The sequence below is a fragment of the Homo sapiens genome, chromosome 14, assembly GCF_000001405.40.
Source record: "Homo sapiens chromosome 14, GRCh38.p14 Primary Assembly".
Classification (NCBI taxonomy): domain Eukaryota; kingdom Metazoa; phylum Chordata; class Mammalia; order Primates; family Hominidae; genus Homo; species Homo sapiens.
Genome location: NC_000014.9, coordinates 90,717,174 through 90,741,776, shown reverse-complemented (window position 1 = coordinate 90,741,776; position 24,603 = coordinate 90,717,174). Strand labels below are relative to the sequence as shown.

Genomic DNA, 24,603 nt, shown 5'->3' with positions numbered 1-24,603 from the left:
CCTTCCTTAGGTGACCAATGGGCTTGGTGGAAAGTTTGCAGGTTTTTATGTGGCAAGATAGTTGTGTGTTATGCAAGAGATACTTGATTGGCCTTTTTCTTTTTTTAAATGTTGAACTTAATTGACTTAATTTTGAACTCAGTAAGAATTATGTTGAATTGAAAACAGAAAAGGGGATGGAATCTGATCAAAGCCTTGAGCAATCCAAGGCAAATAGGGCTTTATTTTGGGATCAGCCCTGCCAGGTAGGAAATCACACACGCTGTTCCTGTTTGCTCCGCTGGGCAGAGGTGGCCTCTCCATGGTGCCCTGTCACTTCCCCGCCATTCTGTAGTGAAGAAACTTCTGCTCGCTGGGGCCTGTGGGCCTTTTATTTATTAGTCCTGGCGTTTAACTTTATTCACTAGCAAGAGTAAAATTTGGGGAGGGTTTTTGGAGACAGTTAGGAGTGTCGTGACCAGTGACTTTTCATAATTGTGCTTCTGAGGGAGTGCCGTTCTCTGAGTTTCTCTAGTAGTGGGGATGTTCAGTGATGTTCTGGGATGTTCTGAGTTGTTGGGTTCCTGAAGGGCAGTGACACTTCAGAACGAGGACTGACCTGGCTTCCCCTCGAGGGAGCTGACAGAAGCTGTGGGAGGCTGCAGAGCACTGCGGGTGAGTGACTGCCAGTGTTGGGACCCTGGCCTTGCCCCCTTTAGCTGTGGGACTTTGGGCAGTTGCTCAGCCTCTCTGTATCTCAGGATCCTCGTCTGTAAAACCGCAGTCCTAGTTGCCATGAGGCTGCTGTGAGGTGAGGTGGGTTAACTCATGTGCCTCCCAGCACATTGTCAGCATGCAGTAAATGTCAGCTCTCTTGCCCTTATCTGTTCCTGTGTCACCTGGCTGTGGAATCTTTCCTAACCTCGGACAATTTCAGATATTTAGGTTAAAATCTGGAATATTATAAACATACTGTTTCATTAAAAATGTTAAAGAGGCCGGGTGTGGTGGCTCACACCTGTAATCCCAGCATTTTGGGAGGATGAGGTGGGCGGATCACCTGATGTCAGGAGTTCGAGACCAGCCTGGCCAACAAGGTGAAACCCCGTCTCCACTGAAAATACAAAAATTAGCCAGGCATGGTGGCAGGAGCCTGTAATACCAGCTACTCGGGAGACTGAGGCAGGAGAATCGCATGAACCTGGGAGGTGGACGTTGCAGTGAGCCGAGATCGCACCACTGCACTCTAGCCTGGGGAACAGAGTGAGACTCCATCTCAAAAAAAAAAAAAAAAAAAAAAAAAGTCAAAGAATTTCAGGGGAATGTTTATGCAGTAACTTTTTCGGGAGAATTTGCTTTTCCCTTTCTTGTGCTGAAGCCAGTGGAACAACGTTTTGCCTGGTGTCCCCGTGTCTGGACTTCTCTGTTCACTCCTGGTCGTTTGACCTTGGTTTGTTTCTGTGTGCTTCCGGGGCGGTGCTCATTCTGCCTGACTTGCCTGGTTTTCTGGGGCTAGAGAAGTGGCCCTTGCTGAGAGCAGCAGCATGTGCCAGGCAGTACCTAGGAGCTTTCCAGGTGTTCCTCTGCCCTCTAGTTCCAGACCCAGAGGCGGGGCCAAGAAAATGGGAATAAATGAAAGCTATGTGCATCAAATATTTGTTTAATGTTGTCCTTGTTATATCAGAGTCACAGGGACACCTACGAATAGTCTCTGATAGTTTGTTTTCCGAAGGGGAATAACAGATAAACTACCCCTAAAATTGAGCATATAAAATAATTTAACCAAATAAATTACATTAGAGCAGATAGAAATGGCATAGGATGGCCTTGATTAGTTTATCTTCAGATGACGGCATTGTGCCAACAGTAAATAAAGTTATCCGCCCTGCAAGGAGCTTCTAGTGGTGCAGTGATGGGAATAAAGATGACTTCACCCTTGGATACCATAATATGAGCCCTGCTGTTGGCAGATGAAATAATCCTGTCTCTGTCCTTTGCATGCATCAGCCAACCAGCTGGTTATGGCTCTCTTGAGCAGGAGTAGAGCCAGGGTGGAACTTGACCTTCTGCTGACAGTTCATTTCTCTACACCCTATTTTAGAAAAGAAGTTAATGCTAAGTTATGGGGTACCCATGACATTTTATTGGCTGTTTTAGTGCTAAAGTTTCTAGAAGAAACACCAGGTCCCCAAATATTACAGTGCCCCACCTAGACTTCCCGTGTTCATGAAGGGGCTGTTCACTGGCAGCCTGGCCATGCCTTGAGTGGATTATGTTCTCCCGGCAGGAGGGATTTGCAGTGATGTCGCTGAGGTGTTGGATTCCAAACTGGATTAGATGCAGGTTACTGCCGGTCTTGAACTGGAACCAGGTGTCCTAGGAAAAGCACTCAGTGCTGCTGCTGAGAAAGGTGGGGCTGTGGCTCCAGAGGGCCAGGTGATTGTGCTTCTGACTTTAAAATGTGAGACAATAAAGAAAAGGCCAATTCCTCCTTTCCTTCCCGTTTCAGGCCTACCTTTTCACTCAGGCCAAAGCCAGAAGGGGACAGTTCATAGCTTGATGTAATATTTCCTTAAGAGATGTCCAGAAACTGACTGGCTAGGCAGGTGCTTCTGCTCTAGGCACTTCTGACTTTGAGCCCTTTATCTGGGAGCCTGGAGTAGGAGGTTACAACGCAGTGAAAACTGAGTTGGGAGAGTCTGGATACCAGGCAAGAGCAAGTGCTTATTTTAATTTTTGTATATTTCCTGTCTGTGTTTTTTTGTTGTGTTTTGAGGCAGGGTTTTGCTCTGTCGCCCAGGCTGGAGTGCAGTGGTGCAATCTTGGCTCACTGCAGCTTTAACCTCGCAGGCCGAAGCGATCCTCTTACCTCAGCCTCCCAAGTAGCTGGGACCACAGGCACGCACCACCATGCCCAACTAATTTTTTTATTTTTGTAGAAACAAGGTCTCTCTGTGTTGCCCAGGCTGGTATCACGTGTGTGGCCTCTGCGATACGATGAACGTATTGTTGTGTATAAGCTGTTGTAAATAATGCTTCCACGCCAACTTCCTTTGGGTTACTTTTTCTCTTGCTTCACATTATTTCCTAAGGACAAATTCTCAGAAGTGAGGATATTTTTACTATTCTTGTTACTCTGTATTGTGTCCAGTTGCTTTCTACAAGTTATACTAACCTCTTTTTTTTTTTTGAGCCAGAGTTTTGCTCTTGTCTCCCAGACTTGAGTGCAATGGCGCAGTCTTGGCACACTGCAACCTCCGCCTCCCGGGTTCAAGTGATTCTCCTGCCTAAGCCTCGAGTAGCTGGGATTACAGGTGCCTGCTACCACACCTGGCTAATTTTTGTATTTTTAGTAGAGACAGGGTTTCATCATGTTGGCTAGGCTGGTCTTGAACTCCTGACCTCAGGTGATTCGAGAGCTTGGCCTCCGAAAATGCTGGGATTATAGGCATGAGCCACCGTGCCCGGCCTCTACTAACTTTCTCTACCTATGGCTGTATGGGAGAGTAGTGGTTTCTTTGCAACCTTGACAGGGCTGCTATTGTTTAAAAGTTATTTTGCCGAAATTGCTAGATGAAAATGGTACCTTGCAAGTTTAGTTCACATTTTTTGGATTACCAGTGAGGTTGAAATTTTTTTAATACTAGTTATTACTAGTAGTATATACTAGTTATATTTCTATTTTCTTTTCTCAAAAATAGCATTACTGTTACCATACAATTCACCCATTTAAATTGTACAGTGGTTTTTAACATATTTCCAGAGTTCAGTAACCATCACCAATATTTAATTCTAGATTTTCATCACCTCAGAAAGAAACCTTGCACTCAGCAGTCAATCCCCATTTTATGGCCAGCCTCCCCAGCCCTAGGAAACTATTAATCTGCTGTCTGTCTCTGTAGATTTGCATATTCTGGACATTTCATAGAAATAGAATCATACATTGGGTGCAGTGGCTCACGCCTATAATCCTAGCACTTTGGGAGGCCGAGGTGGGTGGATCACAAAGTCAGGAGTTCAAGACCAGCCTGGCCAATATGGTGAAACCCCGTCTCTACTAAAAATACAAAAATTGGTCGGGCGTGGTGGTGTGCACCTGCAGTCCCAGCTACTTGGGAGGCTGAGGCTGAGGCAGGAAAATTGCTTGAACTGGCAGGTGGAGGTTGCAGTGAGCTGAGATTGTGCCACTGCACTCCAGCCTGGGTGACAGAGCGAGACTCCATCTCAAAAAAAAAAAAAAAAAAAAAAAAACAGAATCATACAATATATGATCTTTTATGGCTGGCTTCTTTGGCATAGCATCACGTTCTGAAAATTCATTCATGTAGTAGCATATATCAGTACTTTGTTTCTTTACATTGTTAAATAATTGTGCCATTGTGTGGATATGTGCTACATGGTATTTATCCATTCACCAATTGATATGCATTTGGGTTGCTTTTACTTTTTGGCTATTGTGAATGATGCTGCTATAAATATTTGTATGCAGGTTCCTGTGTAGACATATGTTTTCAGTTTTCTTGAGTATATTTACCAGTGGAATTTCTGGGTCATGTGGTAACTTTATGTTTAACCCTTTTTTGTCTGCTTATCCTTTTTGTCTAATTTTTGGAAGTGTTGTTTTCTTACAGTTTGAATAAACTATGTCATAAGTATGTTAACTCTTTATCATATTTGCTCTGAATATTTTCCTAACCAGTAATTTTCCATGTTTAAGTTGCTCATAAATTTTGAATCTGTATATAGTTGAATCTGATTATCTTTTTAATTATATTTTATTTTACTGTTTTTAAAGCTTGAATGTTGGAATAAACTTCCCTAGGATTTGATAACTTTCAACCATTTTCCATATATATGTATGTGTGTATATACGTATATATACTTTTTTTTTTTTTTTTTTTTTTAAGAGACATGGTCTTGCTCTGTTGCTCAGGCTGGAGTGTAGTGGGGTGATCATAGCTCGTTGCACCCTCAAACTCCTGGGCTCAAGAGATCCTCCTGTCCCTCCTGCCCCAGCCTCCCAGTTAGCTGGGACTACAGCCGCATGCCACTATGCCCGGCCTATTTTTAAATTTTTTGTAGACAGGTTCTCACTTTGTTGCCCAGGCTGGTCTTGAACTCCTGGCTTCAAGCAATCCTCCTGCCTTAGTCTCCCAAAGTACTGTGATTACATGCATAAGCCACCAAGCCTGGCCTCATTTCCTACCCACCCCCCCTTTTTTTTCTGAGACGGAGTCTCACTCTGTTGCCAGGGCTGGAGTGCAGTGGAGTGATCTTGGCTCACGGCTACCTCCGCCTCCTGGGTTCAAGTGATTCTCCTGCCTTAGCCTCCTAAGTAGCTGGGATTACAGGTGCCCACCACTACGCCCAGTTATTTTTTTGTATTTTTAGTAGAGACGGAGTTTCACCATGTTGGCCAGGCTGTTCTCGAACTCCTGACCACGTGATTCACCTGCCTTGGCCTCCCAAAGTGCTGTGATTACAGGCACTGCACCCGACCTCCTCCCCTTTTTTTAAAAAAACAGAAAACAAAAATTTTTTCACTATGTACAGAGAAACCTTTAAAAACAAACAAAAACAAACATACAAAAAACTTTTAATTTCCAAATGTAGTTGGGGTTCATTGTGGTATATATATATATATATAGCTCTAAATTAATTTTTCTCAATTAAAATTTCCCAAATTTCCAAATTTCAGTGCTACTTTAAGATGATCTTTCCTTTTCATATTTTCTGTCATATATTTTTAGTCATTCAATAAAATTCTGGCTTTTTAATTGTGTTGTACCAACATGACACTGTTTAATAGGCACTTCTTTATGATAGGTTTTAACATTTAAATGATTAGTAACTACTCATTACTTTTATTTTTCAGGTTATCCTTTGTTCTTATCTCATTCTAATACTTTCAGGTAAATTTTAGAATAATTTTGTTGAGTTCAAGAAAAATCCTTTTGGGATTTGGTTGAATTTTTAATTCCATACATTAATTTGGAGAATTATATTTAGTCTCCTGTCATCTATGACCCTCTTCCTATTTTGTCAAGATTTTTTTGTTCTATAGACTTTAGTAGGTTTTTTAAAAAAAAAAAATATTTAAAAAAAGTGATGAGGTTTCGCTGTGTTGCCCAGGCTGGTCTCGAACTCCTGACCTCAAGCGATCCACCCACCTTGGCCTTCCAAAGTGCTGAGATTACAGGCGTGAGCCACTGCACCTGGCCAGTAGGTGGTTTTATTCTCAGATCTTTTCTATTTTTATTGCTTTATGAATAGGATCTTTTTTTTTTTTTTGAGACAAGGTCTCACTCTGTCACCCAGGCTGGAGTGCAGTGGTGTGATCATAGCTCACTGCAACCTCAAGCTCTTGGACTTAAGCAATCCTTCCGCCTCAGCATCCCCAGTAGTTTGGACTACAGGTACACACCACCACACCTGGCTAATTTTTAACATTTTCGTAGAGACCAGGGTCTCACCATGTTGCCCAGACTGGTCTCAAACTCCTGGTCTCAAGCATTCCACCTTTCTTGGCCTCTCAAAGTGTTGGGATTACAGGCGTGAGCCACCGTGCCTGGCCTAGATCATTTTTGAAATTATATTTTAACATATAAATGTGCCTGTGATGTTTTAATTCACTTGCACAATCATGTATTGAGTGCCTTCCATGTTCTGGATACTGTTTGACTGCAGGGGCACTAGAATGGGTATGTCACAGAGCCTGCCCTTAAGTGGTTCACACCTGTAATCCTAGCACTTTGGGAGGCCGAGGCAGGTGGATCACCTGAGGTCAGGAGTTCAAGACTAGCCTGGCCAACATGGTGAAATCTTGTCTATACTAAAAATTTAAAAATTAGCTGGGCGTGGTGGCGCATGCCTGTAATCCCAGCTACTCAGGAGGCTGAGGCAGGAGAATCACTTGAACCTGGGAGGCAGAGGTTGCAGTGAGCCGAGATCGTGCCACTGTACTCTAGCCTGGGCGACAGAAACTCCGTCTCCAAAATAAATAAATAAATAAATAATAAAATAAATAAAAATTTAAAAAGAAGCTCATGAGGACACAGGTCCTTAGCCAGGAGGAGTGCTGTGGTGGGAATTCTCAGAGAACTCTGAGAGCTCCAGAAAAGGCCTTGGGCCAGTGTGGGAGTTCAGGGATGTCTCCTGGAAGAGATGATGCCTGAGCAGCATCTTGAAGGCTGACAAGGATAGCAGTGTCGAGGATGGCAAGGATGGTGTTTATTGTCCATAATACTGAAGTCTTCTATAGAAACAGAGTTGATGCTTTTCAAAGCATGATAGTGATCATAGCTCATTGCAGCCTATAGATCTATGAGGTGGAATGATTTTTGTCGTTGTTTCCTCCTTTCTTTTTTTTTTTTTTTGGGAGACAGAGTCTCACTCTGTCACTCAGGCTGGTGTGCAGTGGCGCAATCTTGGCTCACTGCATTCTCCGCCTCCCAGGTTCAAGCAATTCTCATGCCTCAGCCTACTGAGTAGCTGGGTCTACAGGCACGTGCCACCACACCTGGCTAAGTTTTTGTATTTTTAGTAGAGACGGGGTTTTGCCATGTTGGCCAGGCTGGTCTTGAACTCCTGAGCTCGAGGAATCCACCCACCTCAGCCTCCCATAATGCTGTGATTACAAGCATGAGCCACCACGCCTGGCCTGTTTCCTCCTTTCGAATATTTTCCATCTTATATGTCTCATGCCTTATTGCCATAATTTATAAAACGATGTTAAGAAATAAAGATTTTTATTTTGTTTCTACTTAAAGGTAACTCTTTAATATAGCTCCATTAAGGATTATACTATTTGTACAATAATGTATAATATTTGTTCATGCAGTTAATATAACTCCATTAAGGATTATAATATTTGTATAATAATGTATGGTATTTGCTCATGAAGTGAAGTTTCTCATTTGCAATTCAAACCAACCTTGTGAGGTAGGTATTATTATCCCCATTGTATAGATGAGGGCAGTGAAGGTCTGTGAGGTCAGAGGTGTTGTCCTAAGTCCGCGAATGGTGGGTGAGCAGTGTCAGAACCAGACCTCGCGCCTCGGTCTTTTGACTAAAATCTTCAGCCCCTTCCCCGTGCTTCCTCAGTCATTGGGTACTTGCTTCTGCCAGAGCCAGCTGCGCTTGTTAAGGACGCTTGTTGGCAGTCTCCTCGCTGGAAGTGTTTATCCACAGAACAAGTGGTGGCTTCAGCACTGCCAAACAATGCTTCTGCCCAGGCCCATGTGTTGGAGGCTCTTTGTGAGGAAGGGATTAAGTTCAAGATGCTTAGACTTCAGGGTAAGCCCTGAGCTATGCTAGTCCCTCCAAGGCTTCTCTTGCGTCTTTCCCATTCTCCCATTTATAACCTTAAGCCACCTCCTGGCTGCCCTTGTGTTTTGGACTTTGCTCTGCAAGCAGACACAGATGAAGGAGAAGGAGCCGGGCTGTGGAGTCAGGGGGATCTGGGTTTCTGCACCAGCTCCACCGCTCTCAAGCCACATGATTCGGGCACCTCACTTGGTGGAGCAGTCTCCGCTTCCCCTCTGGTAAAGAGAGGACAATGGTGTGTATCTCGGTGGGTTTTTGTGGAGGAATACATGAGATAGCGATGTACCCACATGGTGCCTAAGACACAGTGGGTTACTTTCCTGTTGCCTTTTCTCTGCATTTATGATTGGCCTTGAAAGTTTATTCATTTACTATGTATATTGAATGCTTATCCTGCACTAGACACTGGGTAAGTAAAATAGGCGTGGCCTCTGACTTTGTGGAATTTGTAGCACAGTGGAGAGAGACAGCCAGAAATCAAGTGAAGAAATAACAATGGCAAATGTAATGAAGGAATAGGAAAGGATGCTGTGGGCAGGCGAATAGGGCAGACTTCCTTAATGCCGATTGTTAGAAAAGGCCCTTCGGAGGAAGCAAGAAGCAGAAGCAAGCTGATATCTGAGAGATGAGAAAGAGGAAAAGGAGCTTAAGAGCAACATAATCCAGATTGGATTATGAAAAATTATTCAGGAGCTGGGCGCAGTGGCTCATGATCCAGACTGGATTATGAAAAATTATTCAGGAGCCGGGCGCAGTGGCTCATGATCCAGACTGGATTATGAAAAATTTTTCAGGAGCCAGGCGCAGTGGCTCATGCCTGTAATCTCAGCACTTTGGCAGGCCGAGGCAGTTGGATTTCTTGAGCTCAGGAGTTCAAGACCAGCCTGGGCAGCATGGTGAAACCTCATCTCTACAAAAAATACAAGAATTAGCCGAGTATGGTGGCACACACCTGTAGTCCCAGCTACTTGGGAGGCTGAGGTGGGAGGATCGTTTGAGCCTGCGAGGTTGAGGCTGCAGGGAGCCATGGTCATGCCACTGCCCTCCAGCTTGGGTGACAGAAATTATTCAGGCTGCTTATAGAGAGTGAGGGAAATAGGGAAGCAAGAGAGGACGTGGAGACTCCATTCAGGAGGCTGTTGTAGAAATCTAACAGGAAGTCCTGGCAGCTCGGATGATGTAATGGTAGTAGAAATGGATAGTCACAGACATAGTTGAGAAATAATTAGGAGGGACAAACTTTCTAAAGTGTAACTTTGGTTACACTTTAGTTCCTTCTGTTAAATTTAACTAAATTAAATATAATGATTTAAATTTAAAACTAGCATATATAACATGATCTCATTTTTTTGTAAAATGATTTTTATCTTTCTCTGCTTGATACATGTGTCCACAAAGATATCTGGATTGTCGTTCAATAAATGTTAACTGTGGTTATTTTTGTGTGATGGAATTGTGAGGTGATTTTTTTATTTTCTTTTTTGTGCTGTACTGAATTTTTTACTTTAAAATAATCATGGCATGTCAAAATTAAAACTATGCTGAAAAGCAAATGAAGGATGATTTTTAAAAGTTTCCGTGTTGGACCTCCAAGTGCAGCAGTTGGATATGTGAGTTGGAAATTCACAGAGAAAGTCTTGACTACAGCTATAAACTTGGGCGTTGGCAGCATACTGATGATTTTGAAGCTCTTAGGGATGGATGCGGTCATCTCAAGAGACCTAAGAGAGAAAGGAGTGTGGCTCCGATGGTGCCGCGTGCATCTCTGGCACTTGACGGATGAGTGGAGGAGGAGCCTGTAGTGGGTGGAAATGAGGTTCCCAGAGAGGAGGAACTCCCGGAGAGTCAGGGGTGCAGAGCTGAGGGCTAAGTCAGGACGGAGCTGGGCAATTTCTATAAGATGCTGGGATCCGGTTCACATGCAAGGGTTGCCCACCTGGGTTTCATTCCTCGATGTCTCGTTTATCATGTACCTTCTACCTTTCTTTTCCCCAAAGCTTGTGGGTTAGGGAACTAATAATTACTTCCACTCTGTTTGGAGACTAAGGTTTCAAGACCTCTAGGATGTTTGGGGTTTGGCAAACAACTGGGTCTTTTGAAGAGCTGCTGACTTTCAGCAAATGTGGACGGCATGTTTGGAGAACATTGGTTTTTATGTGAGCCACAAGTAGGCTTTCCTCTGAGAAATGCTTTGACTTGTGAGTTTAAAGAGAGTAGCAGCAGGCCGGGCGCAGGGGCTCACGCCTGTAATCCCAGCACTTTGGGAGGCCAAGGCAGGCAGATCACAAGGTCAGGAGATCGAGACCATCCTGGCTAACGTGGTGAAACCCCCGTCTCTACTAAAAATACAAAAAAAAAAATTAGCTAAGTGTGGTGGTGGGCACCTGTAGTCCCAGCTACTTGGGAGGCTGAGGCAGGAGAATGGCGTGAACCCGGGAGGCGGAGCGTGCAGTGAGCTGAGATTGTGCCACTGCACTCCAGCCTGGGCGACAGAGCGAGACTCTGTCTCAGAAAAAAGAGTAGCAGCTACATGTTTACACTTCAGTATACCCAACCCAACTTGCAAGTCTTCCTCCTGATTAGTTGGCAGTCTTTTGTGCAGGGCTAAAAAATTAAACCTTTAAAAACCCCATTATCTGTTGATAAGCTAAGAAGTCAAGTTTGGGGAGAGAGGGTGTTTTGCTCAGCTCTCCCTTTGAGAATAGAGGACTGCCACGCAGCCCAACCTCACCAGGTTGCAAAGCTGCAATGTCCCTCAGCTCTGGAGCCTGGTGAGTCTGCCTTTTTCTGGTTGATTCCAGGGCTAGTGCAGATCACAGCACTCATCAGCTCATCTTGGAGCTCATCAAGCTCATGCAGGGCTGCAGCTGCAGTCTGCCTGTGAGTGACCTCGGCCATTGGTGGATCACAACTATTTCCGCCCTTTGCTAGGACCCGCTTCCGTGTCCCCAGCCTTCCTGTCAGTATCCTGGCATTCAGCAGGGCCTCTCCGCCTCTAGTGCTTCTTACAGCACCACCTGCTCATCAGCACCCCCGACTCCTCAGCTTTCGGTACCAGGAGGGCCCTGTGTGCCCCTGGGTTGCTTGTTGCTTCCTGTCTAGTAGAACCATTCTCTCTGCTTTTCTAATGCTTGCACTTCTACACCTGTGCCTCTGCACTGATATTTGCCTGAGGAAGTTGGTTTTTTAGGTCGAGCAGTACATTTAGAGATAGGGTTTGAAGGAAGTAGGCTTGGATGTGCATCTGATTAGTTTTCCAATTTTCTCCCCTTCTAGGTAATACTTTCTAATATTCAAAACAGAAGCCCTAAGCCTGGCCCTGCTCCCCACGATCAAGAACTAGGTTTTTTCCTAGAAACAGGACTTCAGAGAGCCCATGTCCTCTATTTCAAAAATGGGTAAGCCATCTTCATTTTTTTAAATCCACTTCCTAAAGAAGGAAAGTAGAAAGCCTTACAATGCTGTCTCCAGTTTAGTTATTATAATAAAGGAATTTTAAATATGAACTACCATTGGAACTTTTTTTTTCTTTTAAAGAATGAACATTGGCTGTTTTTGTCTCTTCTCTACCTGGCTCTCTTGCTTTCCCATGAGATGTGAAGGTGGGAGAAGGGAGGGAGGGAACCCAAGTCAAAAGTACACAGCCTCAAGACCAGTGGGGTGGGCCTGATGGGAGCCATGCCTTCCCATGCCCTCCCTCCATGAATGGCTCTGCATCGGCCTCCCCATTTGTTAAGGAAAAAGTTAATGAATTGGAAATCCTGGCACACAGGAGCATCGCCCTTTCAGTGGCTGATCATTCAGGGAATTGGATTTGCCAAATCTCAGCCAGTTTTTATGAAAGTGAGTGTGGCTTTGAAAAGGCTTTTAAGAAAGGTTGAAGGACATGAACGGGAGGGACAGCTCTCGAGTGCATTTGATGTTTGTTTTCCTTTTTGTGTTGCTCTTGTGAGAAATGTGCTGATTCTGTTCCAAATCTCTTCAGTTATCCCTTGTTTTGACATTGTGCTGCAGGATAGATGTGCATGAAGACCAACAGTAGGTATCTGGTTCCTCTGTAGCACCCCCGTAGGCTTTGCATGGGAGGCCCCTAGAGGCCCGTTCCCCTCCTCTAGAGTAGTCCAGTAGTGCTTTGAATGGCAGAGGGGACCCAAGCCCCAGCCTCTGGAAAAATGAACAATGGAGTTGCTCCCTCTTCATTTTTAAGAGCTTCAAACCTTGGGGCATGGCTCTTGAAATTGGGATTTCATCTGCCTGGTGGCCCAGAGCCGCATGCGTCCATTTCCCATTAGTTGAAAATAAATGCCTATTTTTCAAGTCCTATTAAACTGCTTGTGAGAGAAGGCCTGCTTTGGTCCAGAGGCCTCTGGCTGAGGTCCACATGGCCTACAAAAGGCTGTGACACACACCCCAAGGTTTGCAGCAGCTCAATGGCCTTGGCACAAAGATGCTCTTGCATTCGATCTCATCTGCCACTGATTGAGATCATTTGAGCAACGGTGCACGTCCCCTAAGCTAAGATGAAGTTCTGTTTTCTTTGTTGTTATAAATAGAAGGAGAAGAGAGGGAACATGGAATATTTTTCTAGTGATGTTTCTTTTCCCTTTTCACGATAAATGGTGGTCATCACGGAGGAGCTCCCGGCCCTTGCCCTCCTTCTCTCTGACCTGTGTCTGTATGTGTTAATATGGAGGTCCGGACCCGGGAATTAATCCCCCTGGAGGTCCCAGGGGTACCATACCCATACGTTCAGTTGAAAATGTTTTGTGTGAGATTAATAAGAGTGGGTTGGGTAATTTATTTGCATCTTTGAAGCCTGTTCTTTGGGGAGAAAGGAAGACTACTGGGCCCTGAGACACTGGCTGCCCACTGGAATCCAACTAAAAAATAATAATGAGAGGTTTGCACTAGGTGATGGATTACATGCCATGGATTGCTTACTGACTCATTTCTCATTTTATTTTACTTTATTCGAGTTCAAGGAAATGCCTGTTGATGTAGCCTTAAGGGACTGCTTAACTTTGAAGCTTTTTCTCTTCTCTTGTCCTCTTGCTCTTCTCTCTGGGCTCTAAAGACCAGTGATGGGATTGGGCCAGGTACTCTCATTCTTTTTTTTTTTTTTTTTTTTTTTTTTTGCGGGGGGGACGAGGTCTTGCTATGTTGCCCAGGCTGGTCTTGAACTCCTGAGCTCAAGGGATCTGCCTGCCTTGGCCTCCCTAAGTGTTAGGATTACCGGCATGAGCCACCACTCCCAGCCCTGGGCCAGGTACTCTCAAAGGTCCCTGTTAGCTGCAGTCCCTGCTGGTGCAACTAGCTCAAGGCTGGGACGGTGCAACAGTAGTGAGGAATTACTTTTAGGAGGTGGAGGTGAGGGCCAGTTTGGGGGCCACAGAATATACCCCAAGGAGAAAAACCGTTGGGAGGTTTTGAACATGCCAAGTGCTGTCAGGGCTGCTTGACCCATACCAGTGGGCTACGCAGGGCCTGAGGGCCACAGCCAGGGCTCATTTGTCACTGGATGCCTACAGCAAGCGGGGACAGAATGGAGGTAACTGCTGTCCCTAAGCACCAGCAGCTTCCCACGCTTCCTTGTGAGGTACTTGCTCCCAGTTGTCTCACTCCTTTTGCTCTTCTGCAGTTTTCTTCTGTGTATCTGAAAGGATATAATGGACAGGATTGACTGATTTTCAGTAGTAGGAAAATACACTAGAGTTTGGCAATAAGAGATGGAATTGATGAAACACAATGTTTTTCTTTAGAAATATACTTAAATGTATACTCAGCTTTTTAGCTGTCATTCCTGAGGACTCACTGAATTATAGTCTTGAATCTGATTCTTCTAGAACTCTCCCATCTTTTCCAGAAGTCACTGCGGAACTGGTGGACTTGGGCATCTCTTTCAGAAAACCTGATGCCAGGACCAGTTCCTAAGCCCCTTCTGATGTGTTAGATCCAAGGGCTGCTTTTAAGTTTGGCTTAAACACTTGTCCTTCATGGTCACTGGTCCTCACAGCGTTGCCGCTCCACCATGTGCAGTGGGCAATGTGAGCAGTATTGCCCCTATTGTTTAGAAAAATTTAGACTCACAGGGGATGTGCCTTGCTGCAGTCACACAGTTCCTTGGGCTCCAGTCCTTTCACCACTGTGCCACTGTGTGGGAAGCGCTGTGGCTCGGTGTGGATGGAGTCGATGGGAGGGATTGACTGTCCATCACCCTCCCTCTGTGAGGGAGCACTTGACCCCGGACAGGACATCGCCCACAGACAGTTCCCAGCCTCTGTTGGTTGGGTGATTTCTCCTAAGGCTTTCCCCCGTGTCTCATCTACAGCGCGTCACAAAGCATCTCTTTCTCCTCGCCCTCCTCTCCCGGCCTCCCTTTCTGGCTCGTCCTCTTCCCTCTCCCACCCCTCTTTTTCTTCTCCTTCACATCTTTTCCTTCCCTTCCTTCCTAGTTCCTCCCTTCCTGGGCTCCCTCTTTCCTTATGAGGCAGGAGAGAACAGCTAGTTGTCATCCAGGCCGGTAACTTCCTCCACCTCCCAGTCCCGAGTCTCTGGGCGCGGTCTGACTTGGAATGTACCCAGATCCATTTCACATCTATTTCTCTTATCCCTCTGGGTGGCAGCAACAAGCCTGTTAAGGCTGAAAAAACATCTTGTTGAGGCTCCGCAGAGGGTGAAAGCAGAACAGTAGCCTCAGAGGGCCAGGATTGCCGCCTCTGAGGGCTCCAAGTCGCCTCGCCAAAGCAAGCGCTTGTGTGAGGGCAGCTCAGGTGCTGGGTTTGGAACCAGCCCTTTCTTCCTCTGAGTCTCAGGTTCTTTATCTGTGTAGTAGGGTGAATATCAGTCACCTCGGAGAGCAGTAGTGAGGAGCAAATAAAAATATGCACATGGAAGCACCTGGTGGGGTGTCAGGCAAACAGCAGGAGGTAAATTGTGACTTCCAATGGTGACGACGCCTGGCTGACTTACCAGCTGAAAGTGGGACCAGATTCAGGTCACGTCCTGGTTGCAGTGGGAGCTTGTGGAGAAGTAGATGACCGAGCCGGACATTGCCAGGGCTTGGAGGCAGGGCATTTCTTTACAGTGGCGCTGGCTTAAGGCAATGCTGCTCAAGGTGCATAACCATGGGCTTGGATAACATTCTAATCACTTTCAGAGAAAATAGGTGGGACTGACTGGTCTGACCGCGGTGGCACTGGGTATTCATTTCACAGCCCAGCTAGCAGCAGAGAAACGGCCTCACCCTCGGGTTCCCCTCGGCCTTCTGAGAAGATAATGTTACTCCCTACTTGAGTCATTGCCGCCAGAATTGCCAGAGAAGCTTGATTTGGGCATGTCAATCAATTTTGGATTTTTACCTCTTTGTAGAGTCAAGGTCTTATTCTATGGCCCAGGCTGGAATGCAGTGGTACGATCCTAGCTCACTGCAGCCTCGAACTCCTGGGCTCAAGTGATCCTCCTGCCTTGGCCTCCCAAAGTGTTGGGATTATAGGCATGTGCCACTGTGCCCAGCTGGGATGCCAATTAGTTACTGCAGGTTGCTTTAGGAATATTTACCCATCTTTTGTAAACAAAGGGTAGCAAAGCACATTTAAAGTAACCTTGCTTCTTGTTAGCTGTGTCAGGTGTCCTGGGTAGGCAAAACGGATTGTAGTGTGTTTTCACTGGCTTTGAATTGATTTTAATTCAGGTGGGGTGGAGATAAATTGATGCAAAAGGCAAATGACTGTCAGCCGGGAGATGCACCCATGGGGTTGTACCATTTTCTAGGTTACATCACCGAGTGCTGCATGGGAGGCCTTGACTCAGAAAGCAGGAAGTCAGGCAGGGATGGTTCAGACCTTGGGCTCCCCTCAGGTACTTGCAGCCAAGCCAGGGAATAAAGTGGTATGGAAGGGCTTTTGGACCTCTGTTTTTATAATCAAACAAATAGACCACTCATCACCACTATGCATCTACTTTAAAAAGCTTTCAATCTTCCCATATAATCTCTTTGCAATTGTTTAGCCCTGCTCAGTGTAACCTAGACTTAGAAGGCAGGAAAAGGAGTCCAAGAGGCCCTTCTGTATCCTATGGGCTGCTGAGGAGGGTGCTTCCTGGGCTTATGTCTCAGATACAACAGCAGCAGCAGCAGACAGGCTCCCACATCCCATGTGATTGTGGGGAGGTGATCATGGTGAGGGCGCCCGCCAGGACGTGAGCATGCTTTGCTGGATGCAGTTGTCTCTCTTGGTGCTTGAGCAACTTAGCCTTTGCATTCTGGCCTTCTGGAGGTCATCTTCCCTCTTGCAGTGGTAGCAAGTGTTCACGTTTAAAACTGCACACTACTTTTGACAGTAGGAGTCCACTGCAGTGAACATAAGAGAATTCACACACGTTTCCTGTAAGCATTTAATAACCACCACTTTTTTGTATGCAACCCTCTTCAAGAGATACGGAGATGAAAAGGAAATGGGCCTTGTCATCTGGCAGATGGTAGAGAAAAGAAAAAAGATGAAGACATAAACATTAGTACCTTTAAAGGTTATGACATGGTTCTGTAAAAGCATAAACAATGAAAGAACACCAGATCACTTTAAATGAGCTGAAGATTCCAGGCCCATTTATTCATGCATTCGAGTAGGGTCATTTGTTCATTCAGTTAATGAGGATTCATTGTGTACCATCCGTGCCAGGGCTGTGTTAGCCCGTTCTCTCATTGCTATAAAGAAATACCTGAGACCGGGTATTTTATAAAGAAAAGAGGTTTAATTGGCTTACAGTTCCACAGGCTCTACAGGAAGCATGATGCTGACATCTGCTTGGCTTATGGGGAGGCCCCAAGAAATTTGCAATCATGATGGAAGGCAAAGGGGGAGCAGGGCCATCACATGGCCAGAGCAGGAGCAAGAGAGTGAGGGCGAGGCAGGGTGCCACATACTTTTAAACGAACAGTTCGCATGAGAACTCACTCGTTATCATGAGGAGTACCAAGGGTGATGGTGCTAAACCATTCATGAGAAATTCACCCCTACGGTCCAGTCACCCCCTACCAGGCCCCATTTCCGACATTGGGGATTACATTTCAATATGAGATTTGGGTAGAGACACACATCCAAACCATATCACAGGGCCTACATTAGGTTGTGGGGACGAGTGGTGAAGAGAAGAGACAAAGTCCCTGCCCTCCTAGAATTCATGGAGAACTGAGTCTCATGGAGAATTAGGAATTAAAATAAGCCATTTCAGGATAGTTGTATGTGTTATCACTGGGGAAGTCAAGGTTGCCATAGAAGCAAACAGGAGCACTGCTCTGCTGGAAGGGCCATGTGATTTGGAAAGGGGAGTGAAGATTTGGAAAAGTGGGCTTGAGATGGTGTAGATGCCTACAGATGGGGAAGCACCAGAGGGACGTTCCAGTGGTTGGTAGAGTGTGGAGTTAGAACTGTACTCGGTATTGTGTGTATTCTACAGGATATGAGACCAGTCTGGCTGGAGTGATGGTTTCTGTAGACATCTGGGGATGTTCCTATAAAGCTTTCAGCATGGGACCTGGCATGCAGTGGGTTTGGTCAGTTATTCAACGAGTATTTGTTGAGTTCTGCTAAGTACCAAGTACTGTGCTCAGTACTAGTATATGTTGGCCAATATAAGAGACATAGTCCAGGCTCTCAGGGAGGAGACAGTCTAGTGAGGGAGACAGATAATATGTAAGTACTGGTCATATATAATTACAAATTGGAATAGGTGCTAGGAAGTGAATGGGTGCAGTGAAAGCAAATAACAGAAGGCCCCTGCTTAGATAGGGTGGCCTGGCCAGGTCTCCGGAGGAGGTGACATTGAGATGAGACCAAGACTTGCAGGGTGAGAAGGAACTAACCAGGTCAAGCACAGGGGAAAGAGAGCTCCAAGGAGTGGGTGCAAAATGTGCAGAGGTCTTGACCCGGGAAAGAGCTTGGAGTGTTCAAGAATCAGAAAGGAGTCCAATGTAGTAGAAGCATTGGAAGGAGGAGGGTCACAAACTGTCTCAGTCTGGCTTACCCAGAAGAAGGAAGGTCCACTGTGCAGCATATAGTGGGAGAGTGATGGTTGTCCAAAGAAAAGTCCCTGAGTCACCAGGACAAAGGGTAGGTGATACTAGGTGGTGAAGACATTAGATGTGTATCTTAGAGATAACAAAGGGTATAGAGACCAAGAGAAGTGGATGCATTTGAGATGTCTGTTAGAACTACTAGAGTTAGGACTGCTGGTGGATTGGATTTGGGGGACAGAGGGTAAGGGAAATGGAGGAACCAGAGATGACTCCCCAGTTTCAGCCTTGAACCATTGGTTAGATGCGTGGAGACAAGGAGAGGATCAGATCTGGAAAAGGAGAAATCAAGAATTTGCCTTTGGCATGTTAGGTTTAAGATGCCTGTGAGATGTCTAAGTGGAAGTGTCAACATGACCAGAAGACGGGTTTGACTTGAGTTATAAATGGGGAATTTCAGCATATTGATTATATTTAAGGCCACAGGATTGAATGAGATCAGTGAAGGGGCAGAGAGTAAAGAGAGAAGACAGCCCAGGACTTGGCCTGAAGACCTGCAAGAGTTGGAAGTTGAGTAAAGGAGGAGGATCCTGTGAAGGAACTGCCAGAGGTGGAAGGGAAATCGTGAGGGTGTGTCCTTGTGAAAGCCAAAACGGGAACCTGTGCTAGGAAAGAGGAAGTGGTCACCTGTGCTGAATGCTGCTTAGATGTTAATAAAGAAGACCAAATTGTGACCCCTGGATCAGATACCATGGAAGACATCTGTGACCCTGAACAAACTTGGTGGAGTGGTAAGAGCAGAAGCTGGACAGGGGAAGTTGAGGAGCAGATGATACAGGATGAATTGCAGCTCTGTATACAGGCCACTTCCTAGAAATGTTCTTCCCCTTCCATTTTCTTTTCTAAGGTGGAGTTCATGCTGGAAGGACCGATGGCAGAATGATGGTGGAAGATTAAACAGCAGGCTAAGGAATAGGGAATTCATTCTCTAGGTGTGGAGAAGCCATTGGATCTGGAAGGTGGGGTTTTGGGAAGGGTCAAGAACAGGGTAGTTCATTTGGCCACCAGGAATCTAGTGCCACCAGAGCCACGTCCCCCATTTTAGTAGGATCAGGTTCATTTTACTTGGTTTTTGGCCACAGGCTACATTTTAACCTCAGCAGGAACCATACTAGGAAGGTGGGGATGATGGAGGGAGGGATAGAGCCGGGAGGGACAGAGCCAGGAGGGAGTCTGTGTGAGAGCTGCTTTAACAGCTTCAGAATGGAAGTTGATGGAGTAGCGTGAGATATAGGGCGCCTTCCTGCAGCCTGGCCAGCTAAGGCCAACTTGGGGATGCCACATGTCGCCTGGGCACTCACATGTCTGGAAGACTTGACTCACCTAGATCGCTGTTCCACGCTCTTCATATGAGTCATTTCACTTTGAAGGGAGATCTTCGTAATAGTTGAACTGATGGTGCAGTTTCTATTCGGAAAATCCGGAAGCTCCAACAGCTGTTAGAGAGCATTTGTTTCCATCACTTCTCTTGATACATGAGATTCAGAGAAATCCTGTTCACTAATTATTCAACAAACATTGATGGAGACCCTTACTAGGTTACTTACTAGTGCCAAATACTGTTCTAAGTGAATGAGTCAGACCCAGTCGCTGGCTTTATGGAGTTTATGTATCATTGGGGAAACAGTTGATTAGCAAGGTAATATGATTTTCTTCAGGGTCACACAACTGACTAGGGCAGAGCTGGGACCTGTCCTCTTGCTCCTGTCTTCCAGTTCAGTCCTCTCATCAGTTGGGCCATACTGACCATGCCCTGTCAGTACCTTCTTGAAAATGGAGTCAGGAGCAGCATAGCAATATATTACACTTGAAAATTAAGGACCTTAAAAAGCTAGTCTATCGTCTTCTAATTGGTCTCACGTAATTAAAAAAATAAAGATAAAGCAAGTCTAGACGTAATTATGTATGAATAAAAAGCATCAGCCCGATCTTATCTGTTCTGTTTAAATGTGGGCTAGGTCTTGCTCATCCCTTAATGCCATCAAAACCTTAGTGTGGAAACAAAAGAATCTCTAACGATTTTAATTATGAAATTCCGAAACCCCTCTTTTCAGTGATGAATTGTGGAGACAGGTAATTACTTTCAGTGTACTTCACAAGTGCTAGCACTTAGTGAGGGTTAGAGATCTGATGCCGTCAGAAAGCTTCCTCAGCATTCAGCAAGATGGGTGCGTTTGTGTTGATCTCTCCTTGGTTTCAGCAGAAAAATGGGGTGGGTCATTCTAAGCTTCCAAAGTCGGGGAGGAGGTTAGTGATTGGCATTTAATTGTATCTCCCAAAGGCCCCTCCCTGCATGGTTTACCGGTGATATGCTGCCTCTTGGAAGGCAGGCTACAGTTCCTTTAATCACCACCAAGAAACTGGAATTCCTTGACAGATGAACTGGTTAGCATTTGTCTTGGGTAGTGGTTTTCAGTTTTAATGGGAGCAGGAGTGGAGGAATAGATTCCGTGCTTGTTTGTTTATCCATTCACATATTTATTCATCTGTCAAATATTTACGTGTCAGGAACTAGGGTCGAGACAGCAAATGGTCCCTGTGGAATTTCTAGTCCAGCAGGAGAAGAAAAAACAAGTAAATTACCAGTGGGCTATGCCTTTAGGAAAGGGGAAGATAATACTATTTTCTTTTCTTACCTTAGCTTTTCACCTGCAGCTTTTCTTTTAGAAAGATGGTTATATAATTTCGTGTCTAAAAGTCAGAGTTAATTTTTGTAGCATCTCCTGGTACCTCTTGACATAACGGGAGATTCATGCCCTGGGAATTGCTGATATAAGACCTTATCAGACGGCAGTATTTTCAGAGCAGCTCTTGCTCATGCTCTGGATGGGAGTATCGTGAATGAACACACTGCAGGAACACACCATGTGGTCTGAGGGATACTGCCCTCCGCTGTTGGTTTCAGATGATGTGTTACGGCATTCACTTGTTCTACCAGTGTTTATCAGCTTCCACTCTGAGCCAGGCATTCTTTGGGTGCTGGGGATAAAATGGTGAGCAGCCAGACAGGCTTTTGCTGTCAGAGAGAAATCAGATCGTTATACTCTTGGATGTATAACTATAGCCTAAGATAGTTACAGCATTGAGGAGGAAAGGTACCCATTTCTGAGAGTCCATTTTAAAATGAAATTAACCTACAATTGGTGGTCATGGGGGGTTTTCCTGAGGAAGTGACTGAGCAGAAACCTGAAGATGAATTGGAAAGTAGGAGCTAACTGGCAAAGGTGAGGTGGGGTGAAGGGAGTGGTGATCTTATTGTTTAGTCAGGGGCGTCCAGTCTTTTGGCTTCCCTGGGCCACATTGGAAGAAGAATTGTCTTGGGCCACACGTAAAATACACTAACATGAATGTAAGCTGATGAGCTTAAAAAAAAAAAAAAGGTCTGTGCATAAATCTCATAATGTTTCAAGAAAGTTTGTGAATTTGTGTTGGGCAGCATTCAAAGTCATCCTGGGTCGCATGTGGGCCACAGGTTGAACAAGCTTGGTTTAGACCCAAAAGAATCCTCAAAGGCATCTTGTCCAGCCAACTCATCCTTTATTCTCTGCTTTATTTTACTCCTTAGCATTTAACTGGCATCAAATACACTATAAGCCAGGGAATTTGTTAGGTTTAGTGAAAGATTCCAACTCACAAGAATTTCATAGGCTGCCCTTGACACCCATCTACTTAGATAGATATAGGACAGAACCACAAATTGCCAGCAGGGAAAGGTCAGGGGCTTCTTTCCACATGAGTTCTCCCAGCAGTCCCTACAGCCACCCAGGAGCTGCTCTGTTTGTTCCTTTTCACCTCAAGTGACAGCTCAGGTGCTAGGGAATGAGACTCACATTGGGTAGGTTTGCCATCTGCCCTGGCTTAACATCTCAGGCCCCACGTCTTCAGGGTCTTCCAAGGGATATGCTCAGTTGTAAGAATCAGCACACTCAGGGAAGCCCAAAGACACAGTGTTCCTATCAGGTATTTACAGTTCCTCCCAGTCTGGCTGCAAGTTATCAATCAGGGGCCATTTTTATCATAGGAAGTGTTGCCTAGTAACATAATTGACATTTTATCTTTTTAGGCTTTCTAGGGAAACAAAACTGGAAAGTTAACCTCAGGTTATTTTTGTTGTTTTTGTTTGTTTTTTTGAGGCAGGGTCTTGCTTTGTCACCCAAGCTGGAGTGCAGTGGTGCAGTCACGGCCCACTGCAGCCTTGACCTCCCAGGGCTAAGCAATCCTCCCATGTCAACCTCAAATAGCTGGGACTGCAGGTGCGTGCCACCAGGCCCAGCTAATTTTTGTTTTTTTGTTTGTTTGTTTGTTTGTAGCGACGGGGTTTCACCACATTGCCCAGGCTGGTCTCGAACTCCTGGGCTCAAGTGATCTGCCCACCTGGACCTCCCAAAGTGCTGGGATTACAGGCGCAAGCCACTGTGCCCGGCCAACCTGAGGTTAAATTCTCAAAAGAAGAGGGAAGGAATTTAACCCTTTGCCCCCATTTGTATTTTGTCTTATTTAATTTGTTTACAGTTGTCTCCCATCAGTAGAACCTAAGTTCCACTTGGGCAGGAATTTTGGTCAATTTTGCGTGGGAACAGATCTGTACCTGTATGCCCCAGTGTCTGGTGTATAGTTGTGCATCCATGAATGAATGAATAAATGGATGTACTTTTCATTTTCAGCTGAGACGGCTGTGGCTCATAGATGTCTATCTGAGAGTTGCATATTGTCTGTAAAAGTAGTTGATGTAACACCTGTGCACGTTGTGCTAGGTGCTGGGGATCTAAGGCCGAATAGGACAGCCCAGACCGGCTTCATGGAACTTACGGCTCCTATTCTTGTTTCTTTGTGGTAAAGCGGGAGATACACTACGACCACCTAGGTCTTCCTGGATATGATCTCATTCTGTTAAAGGAGAATGGTGAGTGCCAGGCATCAAACAATTTCCTTGACCTTAGCAAGAAATAACACATTTTCTGGAAAGATCATAGAGACCTCTGCTTTCTACCCTGTCTTTGTGGTTGGAGGGAAATACAATAACGGTGGCTTTATTAAGTGCCTCAAGCTGGCTCTGAAAGAGTCTTTTCTGGGAAGATCCTAGCCCAGTGGAAGTTTGGTCTTGTAGGCCTCCTTCCGAGGAGGGTGCCTAACCCACACATCTGGATGGGATTCCAGAGTTCCCGCAGCAGGAAAGGGAGCTATCATCTTCCCTGGTTTAGTTGTTGAGAACATTTGCTCCCACAGCCTCCCAGACTTGAACTTTTTTAAGACTTCAAATATGTAGCTCTTCAAGTTGAAACCTCATGGGGTGCAGCTGGACAGAGAAGCCCACAAGAGAGTTTAAGTGTGGCCTCTGCAGGCCGCCCCTCAAGGGCAGACCATTGAAATAACACATGAGTGTGGGGAAGAAGGAATTCATATCCTGTCTGGTCAAGAAGGAAGCCAAGTTTCACCCTCTCTGAGCCTGTCAGACTGTGGGGAGCTGTCTTGGTAATTTAGTGACATCTGCATCACAGAGGGGGTCCAGATGTATCTGTTGGGGAAGCAGGGTGGATGGGAAGGAGAGGAGGGGGAAGCATGCACCCCTGTTCTGGCTCTGGCCCAGAGCAAAAGCTCAATCACCTACCTGCCTTTTCCCTTCCCGGGTTTAGGTGTCAAATGCATTAGTATTTTACACGAAGGTGGGCTGGGGGTGGGGACCTAGCTCTTTTCAAGGGATATTTCCTACCTGTTTTTAAAAAATCATCCTTTTCCTCTCTATTCTTTTTTTGCAGTGATATTTTTAGTCAACTGTTAGAGAAAATTGCAGAGAGATTGAGCTAAAGCCCAGAAAATGACTGAGACATCTTGGGATAATTTATGACTTTTCTTAGGATACACTAGAGCCTTCTATTGAAAATGAGAGGGGATATAAATTTTTCTAAAAGTACCCACCTTTATATTTGTATGGCAATGTCTGCCATAGACCTGCCCACCAATAAAGAAATCTGTAATATGATTGTATGTTCTCATAGCAAATTCCTGCATTAAATTACAGGGTTTAGAAAAGTCACGGATTATTTCTTTTCTTTTTTTTTTTTTTTGAGATGGAGTCCCTCTCTGTTGCCCAGGCTGGGGTGCAGGGGTGCGATCTCAGCTCACTGCAAGCTCCGCCTCCCGGGTTCACGCCATTCTCCTGCCTCAGCCTCCTGAGTAGCTGGAACTACAGGCGCCCGCCACCATGCCCGGCTAATTTTTTGTATTTTTAG

At 45.4% G+C, this 24,603-nt stretch overlaps 1 protein-coding gene across 3 annotated transcripts in view, besides 1 other annotated feature; it reads left to right on the top strand.

Annotated features, from left to right (window-relative positions):
- Positions 1 to 24,603, top strand: part of TTC7B (tetratricopeptide repeat domain 7B) — a 291,867-nt gene that overhangs the window by 74,654 nt on the left and 192,610 nt on the right. For all 3 annotated transcript variants that reach the window (NM_001320421.2, NM_001010854.2, NM_001401365.1), the window contains exon 5: positions 11,581 to 11,702. In NM_001320421.2, the coding sequence (NP_001307350.1) occupies positions 11,581 to 11,702 (122 nt within the window). The remainder of the gene's footprint in view (positions 1 to 11,580; positions 11,703 to 24,603) is intronic.
- Positions 19,270 to 20,469: an enhancer, noted in NCBI's record as "MED14-independent group 3 enhancer chr14:91187652-91188851 (GRCh37/hg19 assembly coordinates)". NCBI's record gives its function as "activates an origin of replication core promoter dependent on BRD2, BRD4, P300/CBP and CDK7 cofactors, and independent of MED14, by STARR-seq in HCT116 cells {active_cell/tissue: HCT116}" and the evidence as "EXISTENCE:reporter gene assay evidence [ECO:0000049][PMID:35650434]".